The 15593-nt window shown below is 35.9% G+C and overlaps 1 protein-coding gene across 6 annotated transcripts in view; it reads right to left on the bottom strand.

The window, feature by feature from the left end:
• The window catches only part of PIK3C2A (phosphatidylinositol-4-phosphate 3-kinase catalytic subunit type 2 alpha), a 121412-nt gene that overhangs the window by 57095 nt on the left and 48724 nt on the right, over positions 1 to 15593 (bottom strand). For all 6 annotated transcript variants that reach the window (NM_001321380.2, NM_001386870.1, NM_002645.4 and 3 more), the window contains 6 exons: positions 11857 to 11960; positions 6829 to 6986; positions 4998 to 5118; positions 3848 to 3959; positions 2194 to 2273; positions 1999 to 2062 (listed from right to left, as the gene is read on the bottom strand). In NM_001321380.2, the coding sequence (NP_001308309.1) occupies positions 1999 to 2062; positions 2194 to 2273; positions 3848 to 3959; positions 4998 to 5118; positions 6829 to 6986; positions 11857 to 11885 (564 nt within the window). In that variant the 5' untranslated portion in view covers positions 11886 to 11960. The remainder of the gene's footprint in view (positions 1 to 1998; positions 2063 to 2193; positions 2274 to 3847; positions 3960 to 4997; positions 5119 to 6828; positions 6987 to 11856; positions 11961 to 15593) is intronic.

A 15593-nucleotide genomic window follows, 5' to 3' on the forward strand; every position in this document is an offset into this window, starting at 1 on the left:
GGCTCACGCCCAATTCCAGCACTATGGGAGGCCAAGGCGAGTGGATCACTTGAGGTCAGGAGTTCGAAACCAGCCTGACCAACATGGTGAAACCCTGTCTCTACCAAAAATACAAAAATTAGCCAGGCGTGGTGGCACACACCTGTAATCCCAGCTACTAGGGAGGCTGAGGTGGGAGAATCACCTGAACCCAGGAGGCAGAGATTACAGTGAACCAAGATCACATCACTGAATTCCAGCCTGGGTGACAAGGTAAGACTCTGTCTCAAAAAACAAAAAACAACAACAACAAAAAATCCAGGGGTGTGGTTTTGTTAATTTTTTTTTTTAATTTACAAATTAGAAAGTAGACTGGATATGGTCTCCTGACCTAGAAGATAAAGTAAAATTCCTTAACATGGATTATAAGGATAATAATCACATAGCTATCTCCAATGTCATCTGCCAATCTTCATTTTATACTTTGTACTCTATCACAGAATTGCTTATACTTCCATGTAAATATCACACCTATCTGCTTTTGTTTATATACCCTTCCCAATTTTTTCTTGCTAACTGTGTAAGACTTGGTTCAGGGAACATCCCTTCTAAGAGGCCTTCTTTGAACCCTCAACTTAGGTAAGGTGCTCTTCCTTGATTTCCATAACTGCAAGGCATACCTCTATAATACATTTTACTATACTATATTGAAGTTTTGTTTAAATCCCTCACCACTAGTTTTTAAGTTCCTGATAGGTGGGGACTAGGTCATTCATTTTCATAACTCTAGCATTCAGCATATAGTAAGCATCCAATAAATGCTTTTAGAGATGAACTGAAGGTTCTTCTTGGCAACAGAGCTGAAGTGAGAATAAACATGTTAATTTAAGCATTACTGAAAATTTTGGGGGTAAGTTAGGTCCGAAAACAAGACATGAAACATTAATGTCAAGAATATAGTCTTGGCTGGGCACGGTGTCTCATGCCTGTAACCCTAGCACTTTAGATGGCCAAGGTGGGAGGATCACTTGAGGTCAGGAATTCGAGACCAGCCTGGCCAACATGGTGAAACCCCATCTCTACTAAAAAATATAAAAATTAACCAGACATGGTGATGCATGCCTCTAATCCCAGCTACTCAGGAGGCTGAGGCAGGAGAATCATTTGAACCAGGAGGCAGAGGTTGCAGAGAGCCGAGATCGTGCCACTGCACTCCAGCCTGAGCAACACATGGAGACTCAGCCTCAAAAAAAAAAAAAAAAAAAAAAAAAAAAGTCTTTAAGCTTTAATGACTGCCCTATTGGATTTTGGACTTGCATGGGGCCTGTAGCCCCTTTGTTTTGGCCAATCTCTCCCATTTGGAACGGCTGTATTTACCCCACGCCTGTACCTCCATTGTATCCAGGAAGTAACTAACTTGCTTTTGATTTTACAGGCTCATAGGTGGAAGGGATTTGCCTTGTCTCAGATGAGACTTTGGACTTGAACTTTTGGGTTAATGCTGGAATGAGTTAAGACCTTGGGAGACTATTTGAAGGGCATGATTGTGTTTTGAAATGTGAGGACATGACATTTAGGAGGGGCCAGGGGCACAATGATGTGGTTTGGCTCTATGTCCCCCCCAAATCTCACCTTGAAATGTAATAATCCCCACGTGTCAAGGGTGGGACCAGATGGCAATAAACTGAATCATGGGGGTGGTTTCCCCCATGCTGTTCTCATGATAGTGAGTGAGTTTTCATGAGATCTGACGATTTTATAATGGGTCCCGTTCACTTGACACTCATTCTCTCTTGCTGCCCTATGAAGAGGTGCCTTCTTCCATGATTTAAGTTTCCTGAGGCCTCCCCAGTCATGTTGAACTGTAAGTCAATTAAACCTATTTTCTTTATAAATTAAAAAGAAGAATATAGTCTTAAAAGTCCTAAAATATTTAATCCAATGCCAACACTACCATTTAAGAGAAAGAAGCAGCAAGAATCTTTAAGTCATTATGCCAAAATGTGAATTAAGACTTACTTCAATTTGAAGAGCCAGTTCTACTTGGTTGTGATAAGAATCTAAGAGTTCTTCAACAGGGTGTCTGAAAGAAACAACAGTTATTGTGGCTGAAGGATGCTACACACAAAATGATTGTTTTCATCACCAAAATAAGTGTATTTGCATCCAAAAACAAAGTCTGAAAACCTGCAATTAATGCTTTAGATGATATACCTCGTCATGGCTTCTTTGCAAGGTTTTTCTATTTGATACAGGTGTTTGTTTAAATCCACGGGTGTTTCATCATCTTCTGCCTAAACAAACACATATACACAAAAAAATCACATCCACTCTTTGGTCTTTCTATTGTCAAATTAAATATAGTTAAGTGTATGATAAAATCTTGCAACTAAAGTGTTTTTCTGAGAACTGAAAATAAAATTCTATCAGAATTAAATATTATTTGTAACTGACTCAGAAAAAAAGTGAGTCAACATCCTGAAAAAAAACTTGTTTGTTAAATGGAAAACATAAATGCTTTCAAGCCTACTTTCAGATATATAAATAGCTTTTGGAACAAAAACTACTTCTGTTCTATATATAGAGAATAGAGAGCTAAAAACACTAAAGATGGCTGATAGCCAAATGCATATGGGGTAGAAAACAGATGGAGGTCATTTAAATTTCTGCATTATTTTTTCTAATGATAATCAATTTTCCTCCCACTCCCCATCATGAACAAGGTACTCGCTCTTCTACCCTAAGTCTACATTACGCAAATGTAGTCAAGAACATCATTCCTGACAGGGCGCGGTGGCTCACGCCTGTAATCCCAGCACTTTGGGAGACCAAGGTAGGTGAATCATTTGAGGCCAGGAGTTCGAGACCAGCCTGGCCAACACACCAAAAACCCGTCTCTACTAAAAATACAAAAAAAAAAAAATTAGCTGGGTGGGTTGGTGCATGCCCGCAGTTCCAGCTATTCCAGAGGCTGAGGCATGAGAATCGCTTGAGGGTGGGTGGCAGAGGTTGCAGTGAGCTAAGATCACATCATTGCACTCCAGCCTGGATGACAGAGGGAAACTCTGTCTCCAAAAGAAAAAAAAAAAGAACATCATTCCTTAAGAAACTAAGAAGAAAAGTTACCAATGACTGCTAAAATGTACCAAATTTTATGAAATAGTCTTTACCCAATTGAAATGAATTCTACCTAACATAAAAGCAAAACTCAAGAAAACCAAGAAAAAAAGAAAGCAGACATCACTGATATTTTTCCATCCAAAATTCTAACAAATAAAGAATAATTCTCTTTAGAGATTAAAAATTCGATTTTAAGTTCATCAAGGGTTCACGCAGTAAAACAAAATGGCTAAATTTGCTGCATTCTATTTTGCTTTAACCTCAAAAGAAAGCATTGAAAGCACTTTTTTTTTTAAACAGCATCCACCTACTGAAAGTAGTGAACTTTTAAAACAGGGAATTAGTTTTCATTTTGTGATGAATAATTTATTTTTCTCAGTTTGGTACAAAGGTCAGTGTGGATTTTCTTTTCATCCCCAACCCATATTTAGTATTCAAAATTTTTCCTTCTTCCCCATTTTTCCCTGACTCACCCTGATGTTTTCACTCTTGTATAAAGCTATTACCAACCAAATTTTAATTTCTCCACTTTGATTTTCAAATATGCCTCTACCTCTAAGGACTATGTTACCTAAACCTCCATGATTGAACATCTCCCCTCATTTGCTAAGAAGATTCCTGTTGAGGATGAGTTCATCACCCCATTCTAACTATGAAATCATGAAAAATGTACAAGTTGAAAATTGGCAAATTAGCAGAATTATTCAGATTCAAACAAATGGAATTCAGTTATGAGGTACACACTTACTGTTCGGGCCAGATTTTGACACATTGCACTGAAGGTCAAGAGTTGTAGTCTAATTTCTGTGTCCCATTTTCGACAGTTTTGAATATGCTCATGACTTCCAAGGCAATGATTACTGTTAAGATATATTAATTATTCACTATTCTATTCAAATTAGAAATTATAAAGGTGAGGGTAAAATTTAAATTGCACCTGCATCAGAAATTGAAGAGAATGGTGAAACAGAGACAGTTTTAAAATCAAGTCTGAGCATTTAAACAGAGAAATTATTCTGTACGAGAAGAGTCAATGTAAAAAAGAAAGAAGATGAAGACAAAGATGAAGAAGGAAATAAGAAAAATCGGGACAGGGCATTTCTAGCAGCCTAGGAGAATAAAATCTGTAAAACAACTGGACTAAATGCTAGATATAATGAATTACAAGGCTGGGCACAGTGGCTGACACCTGTAATCCCAGCACTTTGGGAGGCCGAGGCGGGTGGATCACCTGAGGTCGAGAGTTCGAGACCAGCCTGACCAACAGGCTGTATTGTGTAAAAATACAAAATTAGCCAGGCGTGGTGGTGCATGCCTGTAATCCCAGCTACTCAGGAGGCTGAGGCAGGAGAATCGCTTGAACCCGGGAGGTGGAGGTTGTGGTGAGCCAAGACTGTGCCACTGCACTCCAGCCTGGGTAACGAGTGAAACTCCGTCTCAAAAAAAAAAAAAAAAAGATATAATAAATACCTGGGTAAGAAAAAGATTCATATAATGATTATTTCAGGCAACTAAAAGGAAATCACAGCTGACTACTGTGCATAAAGTAACAGTGCATGTTGCAAGAGGAATATAGTCTATAATGATGTGACTATTGACTCTTTACAGTAAGAAAGACCCATTATATCACTTATTAACCAACTGCCTGAAACTCTTCCTGTAAAGACTACAAGCTCCTTAAGGGAATACAATGTCTCACTTATCTCTGAAACCCCACCACTGTCTTAGACATGACATCTTAGACATTATATATTTCAATAAAAGTTTATTGATTCAATAAATCAATTCAATAGGATCCAATGTATTTCTGCATTATAAATTTAACTTGAAATTTTTCTAGATTAAACCATTAAAAATGAAATTTCCAAGGATGTTGCTCAGTAGTTAAATAAACTTACTTCTGCAGCACTTCCTCTTGACCACAAACTTTTAGAACATAGCTGCCAACATCTACTTGATTCAAGTCATCATGTACCCAGCAAAGGGCTTGCATTATAATGATTTCTACAGTAGAACTCACTGTAAAAGAGTTAGTCATTATTTTCACTTTGCTCATTTATATTTATTCAAGACTGTATTACTTATAATTTAAGACAGCAGTATACAATAGAAATATAATGTAGTCCACAAATGTAGGCCACATATATAATTTTAAATTTTCTAGTTGCCACATTGAAAAAAGTAAATGGAAAGAGGTGAAGCTAATTTTAATAATATGTTTTATTTAACCTAATACAGTTGGCCCTCTATATATGTTGGTTCTGCATCTGTGGATTCACCAATCTTGGAACAAAAATACTTGAAAAGAAAAAAACTGCATCTGTACTGAATATGTACACACTTTTTTTCTTGTCATTATTCCTTAAACAATACAGTACAGCATATATTTACATAGCATTTACATTGTATTAGGTATTATAACTAATCTAGAGATGATTTAAAATATACAGGAGTATTACACATTGTATGCCTGTATCAAAACATCACGTTACCCTTTCCCTTTGATACTTTAAAAAAAATCACATGTACCCCATAAATATATATATACCTACTATGTACCCATACAAGTTAAAAATTTAAAAATTAAACTAAAAATAAATAAGGTATACAGGAGGATGTGCATCAGTTGTATGATAATACTATGTCTTTTATATCAGGGATTTGAGCATCCTGGGATTTTGGTATCTGAAGGGGGTCCTGGAAACAATCCCCCACAGATGATATTTAGCAGTATCTAGCAAACAATGATTTAAAATGAATTATAAGAAAAAGATTCACCATTTTAAATGTTTGACATTTGCCTGGTATATTTTCCAATGAAAAATAAAAATACAGCAGGTAGGCTGTATTTTTGAGATGGGGTCTAACTCTGTCACCCTCACTGCAGTGAGCCAAGATCATGCCACTGCACTCCTGCCTGGGTGGCAGAGTGAGACTCTCTCTCAAAAAACAACAACAACAACAAAAAAACACAAAACTTTTCCTTTAACAACTAAAAGAATAATTGTTACAGTAGCTAATGGTTTTCTGTTTCAGATTTATATTTTTTCAAAGGGCCTTCAAAAGTACAAAGCTAGAAAGAATGTATCTGAATATTAGACACATTCCTAGTCATAACCATTAAAGAATAAAAACAGCATAATTCTTAGGCCAAAGTACTGTAGAAATACAGGATCTCATTCCTTGGTTGGAATCCCGTTAAGATAATATATATTATGAAATGCAATAAACTCTGCAAGGAAATAAAATTAGTTTTTAAAACTATAAAAAAAATTTCCTACAGACTTTGGGAATACATCTCTAGAGAGGACACCCATACCAAGTTTGGAAGAAAGGATTAAAATAAAAGAGAATTATCTTCTCCACAGAAGAACTTAGCAAGATATCTGGAATTTCAATTTCACTGACAGCTCTTTATAAGCAAGCATGCTTCCTGTCATAAAATGAAGGAGAAAAATAAAGAATTAAATTATAATTAGCTTTTCTATCTAATGCTTTTCAGCCTTGGCCAAGAGCCACTGATTAACAAAAGTTACTTAGCACTTTTCAGATAATTATCTATTTATAAAGGTAACCTGATTCCCCACTAGTTCTAACGAGAAAACTATCCATATGAATGCCAAAAAGACACATAACAAAATTGGTTTATTAAAAGAATGATAATATTGATATTTTAAACATTTCCCCCTAACAGAGCAAAACGAGAGGCTTGAGGAACCATAAACCTACCATCACACGTAAAAGTAACTGGTAGCTGAAATCCTTCAATGTCAATGGAGACCTTCACACTAGCATTTTCTCCGCATATGTTTCTTTGTGCTGTGACTGGACTTAACAAATAGCCTGGGTTTGTGCGGTGATTGGTATATGGAAATTTGGTCTTCAATCTGTTCACAAGAAAGAAGAAATTAAATTCTTTTTTAAAAAAACTTCATTTGAGGGCTCTGAACAAGGCTTTACATGTTTACAGCCACTCAGTTCTGTGTCTTTGTCCAACTCAAGCAGCTCATGAAACTGCAATGAATGAGCTCCTGTTGAAACTCCAAATACCAGCATTTTCCTTTTAAATAAAAGAAACCCAAGGAAAAGGAAGAGATGAACTACTGCCAGGATATCTTTGGTAACATTATCAACACTACCCAAGCACATGCTTGGATAAATGGCATTTTAAATGAGGTCCTCTGCTTAAAAATCTTTTGCCACACAGTACAATTACACAAAATGGTACCTTTTAAATTATTCTATAGGCAATGTAGTCCTAAAACTATAATGGCCAAAAGGATAACAAGTTGGTTGTCTTAAAAAATATTTTTCTTCTAAGGACCTTTTTCGTACAAACATTGTTTTTGGCTGCTAGATAATGAACAAAATATAGACAATGGTTTTTTACAGTGCTACAAGGCCTTTCTTCCCTCAAAGTGATTTCTAAAACTTAGGGAATTGAAAGAACTGCCTGTGAAGGTATTCATAGGAGCAACACAGTTCAAAATTAAATACATGAATGTGGTGTATGGCTCATCTCCAGCCAGCACTGCTGTTATCGTAAGACAAAGATTTGATAACTTCTTTACACTTGTGAGCTCTTTTAAACTGACTTTTTAGAAGACAGGTACCAGTCCTCCTTCCTGCTTTTCATAGGGCTATGAATGGAATGAATGCTAGAAGTATTGTATACTTGCTTCTGTAGAGATTAAAATAATCAGGTCACATAAGTAGAATAAAACAGCTTGAGATGACAGAAAAAGGTTCTGGAGAGGTAGCACATGTAACCATTAGTGCATAGCCTCTAGAGCCAGGTTACCTTAGATTGAATCCTGATTATACTACTTATTAGCTGTGTGAACTTATTCAAGTTATTAAATTTCCTTGTTGCTTCTGTTTTTTCTTCTATAAACTGGGGGTAATACTACTACTTACCTGATAGGGTTGTTGTGAGAATTATGTGAATTTAGTTTATAAAGCGTTTAGAACAGTGCCTAGTACACAGTAAGTGCTTTAACCTTCTTGTCAAATAACTGAGTTAGTGAAGGAATAAATCTGGTTTTTGCACTGAAATCCTAAGCAACAATATTAAAAATATAATACACCTTTTCTTTATAAATTACTCAGTCTCAAGCATTCCTTTATAGTAATACAAACACTAAGACAGAGGCTCACATCAAATCACGAAATTAATGTATAAAATGTTAGAGAATTTTTTCTACATCTAAGCAAGCTTTCAATTTTCAGAAACCGTTAAGGATGACAAAAGTAAAAGCAGAAATTCTTGATAGCTAAGACAAGAATTTATTAGACAAAAATTCCAGTGATAAAACTTAGCTTGGTTTGAGAGGAGGAAACCTGCATTTCCCTTTCTTAAAATAAGTCCTTTCTTTTACACAACAATGTGAATGTAATTATGTCACTGAACCGTACACTTATAAACAGTTAAAATGGTAATTTTTGTTACGTATATTTTATCACAATTTAAGAAATGTTTTTATAATGAGTCTTTTTTGTATTTACTTGGTACCATGGAAGATACCAGATCCAGAAAATACACTAATTACCTTTTTCTGTAAAATTGATTTCTTCTAATCCATGGTTTGTTTGCTTTATAAAAATTGCCAAAAACCATAAAACACCTAAGATTTAAGATTCCTTACAATTGAGGTTTTTTTGTGGGGTTTTTTTGTAGCGAAATCTTTAAGCATTTAAACATACAAAATCAAATTAAATTATTAAATGAATAACTGCTGACTGAGTAAATTATTCACTTTCAATATAGACCAGATAAGGTATTTTTATGGATACTCTAAGCCACACATTACAGTTTGATGTTCTTAAGTAACTATCTATAAAGAGTATTTAACTCTAATTTTTTATTTTCTCTAAAATTTCTACTTCCCTATCACCCAAATAAAAGGCTTTGTCTATTTAGTGTGGCTCTACAGTTCAGGAAATTCAGTATCTCTATGCAGAAATGAAAATCCTTTATGGTTTATTTTTCTACTTTTGTGTGCTCAATCAGACTAAAATTCTGCACAGATAACCAAATCATGCAAAATCAGAACATAAAAAGAAGAAAAGAGATAAAAATGAGGGTTTTGAAAAATTTCAAATAAATTAATATTATTCTATAGGAAAGTACAGTCAGCACTGTTTAGAATAAAATTAACCAAATGCAGAGTTGAAGTCCTTGAAAACATACAGGAAGTTTTTGGGGTCAAGATACTAGTATAGGATATAAATAGTATATATATGAATATATGAATACTATATGACCATAAAGCTATTCAGAAAGACAGGTGTAGAATGTGGTTTCTCATCTTATCCTAAAGGACCACAAATAAAGTGGCAATAACTTCTACTGGTATTTAACACTATTAGATGAACTTTCTCGACCGGGTGTGGTGGCTCACACCTGTAATGCCAGCACTTTGGGAGGCCGAGGTGGGCAGATCACCTGAGGTCAGGAGTTCAAGACCAGCTTGGCCAATGTAGTGAAACCTCGTTTCTACTAAAAATACAAAAAAAATTAGCTGAGCATGGTGGCACATGCCTACAGTCCTAGCTACTAAGGAGGCTGAGGCAGGAGAATCGCTTGAACCTGGAAGGCAAAGGTTGCAGTGAACTGAGATCGCACCACTGCATTCCACCCTGGGCAACAAGAGTGAAAACTCCATTTCAAAAAAAAAAAAAAAGAACCTTTTCAGCACCTGTAACTAGTAGATATAGCAAGCTTTGTCAATTATGATAGGTGTAAAAGGAAAGAAATAGGACAAAAAACTCAGTAATAATGAAAAGTAGTCCTGAATCAATGTATTACAGAATCTTAAACTGAAAGAGATCTTTGAAATCACTAGTCCAACTCTTTAATTTCACAGATGAGAAACAACAACAAAAACCAATACCTAGAACTGGTAATAAATTCCAAGTCTGTTTTGTATTTTATCTTAACTATAAACAAATATCATTCTGACAGCCTGACACTAATTTCACAGCTGAATTTAAATGAATAAATGAATAATTTTAGGAGATCTCAAAAAGCAAAGAACTGGCTCTCTAATTAAAAGCCTACATACTTGTTTTAAAAATCCACTGCAAAATGAGCACAATGGAAAAAACAGAGCCACTAATTTCAAAGTACATCTCCTCATCTCAATCTCCATGGTCACCACAGGGGAAGTTCCTAGAACATGCCTTCAAAAACACCAGTACTTCTTACTGCTCTAGTATTTGTTGCAGTCATAGTCTACTAATGAAAATAAAATTACAAAGAGAACTCATTCTCTCTTTAGTCCATTTGCAGTTTCGTATCACATTTAAGTGTGTGCGTGTGTGTGTGTGTGTAAACAAAAACAATCATTTTCAATTAGTGGCAGAGTTTGTATAAATAGCTCTAAGATTCAAATGGGAGAAAAAAGGTAGGTCTCAGAGAGCCTAACTTCTCAACTTGCAAAGCTTAAATGTAGTAGTTACTTAACATGGCCTAACAGGAAAATACAAGGCCTGTCTGGGGAGAGTAACCTTTGCCAAGAAAAAGTGACTCTACTGATAATATTTTTTTCCTAAGGTATTCTGAAGAAAAGAAATGCTGGTTAAAAGGTAACATAAAGGAAGACAGAGTTTTAATAAAATATCACCAATGGTCCAGAAAATCTCATTAAATATTAAGTTCTTTAACATTAAAATAATGTACATACTCAAAAATGTTCTGGGAACCCCAAATCCTGCTATGCTTAAAGCAGACCACACTGAAGACAATGCTGGATTCAGAAAAAAATCTCCCAGTGGTGATCTACTTCCCTTTTTTAGATAACAGATCTCTCATCCTCTTGGCCACAAGGACTGTTGTTCCACTCTTTCCTCCTATGGGTGTTTCCTATCTGGCTAGCTAAGGGGACTCCTTTTTCTTCTCTGCTACTGAGACCATTAAATTGCATGGAGGAAAGGCAGAGGAAGAAAAGTGAGGAAGGTGAAGGAAAGGAAATGGAGTGGACAAGGAGAATTGAAGGAAGGGGGGATGATTTATAGTAATGAATTCCTGAATCTTGCTGTTAATGAACTCTATCCCATCCTTCCTCTATCTGCTATTTGGGTTGTGAACCAATACATGACCCTTTTTAAGTTCAAGATGGGTTTCTAGCACTCGTAACAGAAGTCACAACTAATATAGTGATATAATGGGAAGAAAACATGCTTAACCAGAAGCAAAAGAGAGTTGGTTCTACTACTGATATTACTGACTAGCCAAGTAAAGTTTGTTAGGTTACTTCTCTGAGTCTCAGTTTCCTCACCTATAATGAATGTTAGACACATTTAAGATTGAGAGAACATTCTATAAATGTGTTTTTCTAAACTTCAGAAAATATATTTGCTCTTCTAAACTTGCCTATTATAATATCATCTCTTAAATATGTTGAACAGTATTTTGAATGCTAGAAAGTTTACAGCAAAATTAAGTCTCTCTAAAACAAAAGTAGGTATTTTTTAAGTGTACTGAAGCTTACAGGTAAGTCATATTTTTCACTGGTTATTACAGTATCAGAAGTCTACTGTCTGACCTCAATTTTTTCTTCCAAATATTAAGAAATCTAACAGGTGAAGATACAAGTTCAACTGTGGTTTGTGATAACGTGCCAATTAACTCTTTGACTTGAAATGTTAGCCACAAGAAGAAAATAATTAAAATTTTTAAAATTTTAGAATTATTAGCACTAAACTGGTTTTCAAGTGAATTTTTCAAATGAACATTTATAAAGAAAAATTCCTTACTTTGTAATGGATCGACAAAAAGCTGCCATCTCCTCATTCTGTACTTCAACTTCTTGAAGAAGAGAACTTCCAGTTGGCAAACTACTGGTCCCATTTGGGTCTTTCTGTAATTAAAAAAGTGTTTTTATTTTAAAAGTGGAAGATCCACAAAATGCTACATAGCAGCACAGCACAAACACATTTTTATGAAAATATGTACAAAGCAATGGAGGTAAAATAAATCATATCAATAACAAATTTTTAAATTATATATTTCTATCTTTGTAAAAGTAATGTCAACTAAGCCTTATTTTCGTTCCTTGGTTTTACTTGCTCAATAGTAGAAACAGGCTATACCGGTCAGTAAGAATGGAATGCTAAAGACCTTTCCATTCAAAATATTCCTAAAATAGACACTTTAGAAATTTTACAACTAAATGAAATTAAAGGACTCTCTGTTTTAAGAATATGAAGAGATCAAGCCCATTTGGGACTCTTCTAATCAGCCAGAAATTCTATATATTCAACTAGGACCCAAATCCCAAGAAAGATGGTTTTTTATGTAAGAGAATGGGCATTTTCTAGGTTAATAAACTTATACTAACATCCTCACAATCCCTAAAAAGCTAAGTTTACGTCTGGTCAAAAACTGTTTACAGCTTTCAGGGAGATCAATTCACCACCCAAGCATAGCCAAACAGCAGAGTCCATTGAGAGTGTTTTGACACTACATAAAAATAACTTGATTTGGTGCAAATTTCAAATATAAATTCCCTTTAAAATTAGAATTGGAACATTCTCAATTCAAAATTCAGTGAGAACAAAGTGCGTATATTTCAAGAGCTATAACAGATTTCAATGACTATGGCACACAAAAAGACTTTTTTTTCTTTGTTTTTTGAGACAAGGACTCATTCTGTCACCTAGGTTAGAGCACAGTCACTCAACAATGGCTCACTGCAGCTTTGACCTCCTGAGGTCAGGTGATCCACCTCAGCCTCCCAAGTAGCTGGGACTACAGGCATGGGCCACCCCACCTGGCTAATTTTTGTATTTTTTGTAGAGTCGGGGTTTTACCATGTTGCCCAGGATGATCTCAATCTCCTGGGCTCAAGCAATCTGCCTGCCTCAGCACACAAGATGATTCTGTGTGAGAAAATTAAACTGAAAATTTAGGTCAACAATTCCTTTATGAGTTTCCTTCCTTTAAAACATGTCAGAGCCCTTTCTGCTAGAATGTGATATACACATTTGGAGAAAAAAATAAATACTTCGAGTGCTACAAAACCACAATTAAAAGTAACAAGTCTCCTGGGGAAAAGAGAGTTAAGGTAGACTACTGAATATCAATGTAGCCAGGTGTGGCATTGCACACTTGTAGTCCCAGGTACCCAGGAGGCTAAATTAAGAGGGTCACTTGAGCCCAGAAGTTCGAGGCCAGCCCAAGCAACACAGTGAAGCCCCATCTCTAAAAATAAAAATAATTTTTTATATCAATATAACTCTGTAATCAAAGCCCTAACTAAAACGATAATAGGACCTTATAAAAATACTAGCACAGTTAAATGTCTGCTCCCATTTGCACCTAGCATTTCATCCTTTGAAGCCTAAAACCCTGGGGCTCTTGTTTCCTCATTTGAGATATGAATTCTTCAGGACATATGCTTCTAGTCAACACCAATTGCAATGAAGTTAAAAGTACAGTACCACTGTGGGAGGCCAAGGCAGGCGGATCACCTGAGGTCAGGAGTTCAAGACCAGCCTGGCCAACATGGTGAAACCTTGTCTCTACTAAAAATACAAAAATTAGCCAGGCGTGGTGGCAAGTGCTTGTAATTCAAGCTACTCAGGAGGCTGAGGCGGGAAAATTGCTTGAACCTGGGAGGCAGAGGTTGCAGTGAGCTGAGATCGTGCCACTGCACTCCAGCCTGGGCAACAAAGTGAGACTCTGTCTCAAAAAAAAAAAAAAAAAAAAAATTCAAAGAGAAATGTTTTTGCAGCCTCTTGGTCTGCAAACATCGTTATAGCTGACAGATTAATACTGTGGAATGTGAAACTGTTCTTGAAGCCACTCATTTTCATTAATAAGAGGACACTTCTGCAGGATTCTCAGTGTTTTCCTAATATCTTCATATAGTGCTAAAGCTTTCCCTTAGGTTGTGAGAAGTTTGTTTCTGATTATTTCAAAAAGTTAATATGCCGGGAAAGATTACGTCTGAACTAATGCTACTTCCCCATTGTATTGACCTCAGTCTCATAGTTACCAATCACATATCAATCAATTTGTATTACAGAAGCAACCACTATGACAAATAGACTATATTACTCTAAAGAATGGGATTTTATATTTCCTAGCAAATCCTCTGGTTTCACACTCCAAATCTGCCACAATCTAATCCAATCTTATTTCCCAGAATCTCCCTAAAGATTTCTATGTTCCAGTTAGCTTGAATCATATCCTGTTCCTATAAAACACAAATCAAGCTATCCTGCCTCTGGACTTTTCCCTTCACCTTCCTCTTAAACTTCCTTCACCACATGTGTCAAAAATCTATTAATTTTTGGCTGGGCACGGTGGCTCATGCCTGTAATCCCAGCACTTTGGGACGCCGAGGCAGGCAAATCACCTGAGGTCGGGAGTTCAAGACCAGCCTGACCAACTGGAGAAACCCCATCTCTACTAAAAATACAAAATTAGCCGGGCGTGGTGGTGCATGCCTGTAATCCCAGCTACTCGGGAGGCTGAGGCAGGAGAATCACTTGAACCCGGGAGGCGGAGGTTGCAGTGAGCCGAGATCGTGCCATTGTACTCCAGCCTGGGCAATAAGAGCAAAACTCCGTCTCAAAAAAAAATAATAATAATAATAAATATATATATATATAATTATATATCTACAGGCATTCATTTATATACTTATTTATCAAAAAAGCTCTAATAGGTGGGAACTATTATTACTCCCATTTTATGGAAAAAATGAGGCACAGATGAGTTAATTAACTCACAAGGTCATACAGCTAATATAGGCAGAGTGTGAATTTCAACCCAGGCAGTCTGGCTTCAATGTCACATGCTTAATCACCATGCTAATCTGTCTCTCAAAAGAATATCCTTAAAAATCCTTAAAAACACAATGTGAAAAACAACGTTGTGACCTTTGTGGGAGCAGTGCTGGGAAAACCTAAAGCTTTGCTTGACCCAAGAATCATCTTTCCCTGAAGAACTGTTCTTCATGTTTTACTTATTTTAAAAACAGATTCTGAATCTCCTTAGGTGGCATTTTAGGATTTAAAAAAAATAATAATAGTTGTATTTTTTGCTGTGTCTCTCGTGAATTAGGTCTTTCCTTTTATTCAAGTTACGAGTTTGAATTAACAAAAACTGAATATAATAATTATCTAGTCACACATCAAGGTAATAATAGAATCTGGAAAGTTAACTCAAATGTTAAAGTCTGTAAAGGGTAAAAAATAGCTAGGCTGCCAATATTTCACCTCAAACATTAACAGTTTTGGGTTTTTCCCTCTGCTCTTTCTGGAATAAAAAATACATATATTTTACACCTATTCCCTTCACCCATACTCCCACCCCACTTCCAAACTCCACACAAACAAACCAAAGCATCAAATCATCTCTTTTCTCCATGGATCTTGCACAGACTTTTCTTCTGTGGCACTCAAGACTTTCTATTTTGTACTGCATTTATACACATTCACATCTTGTCTCCCCTTTCTAGCCCAAGTTCTTTAATGGTGAAGTC

The sequence above is a fragment of the Homo sapiens genome, chromosome 11 (assembly GCF_000001405.40).
Source record: "Homo sapiens chromosome 11, GRCh38.p14 Primary Assembly".
In the NCBI taxonomy this organism is placed as follows: Eukaryota; Metazoa; Chordata; class Mammalia; order Primates; family Hominidae; genus Homo; species Homo sapiens.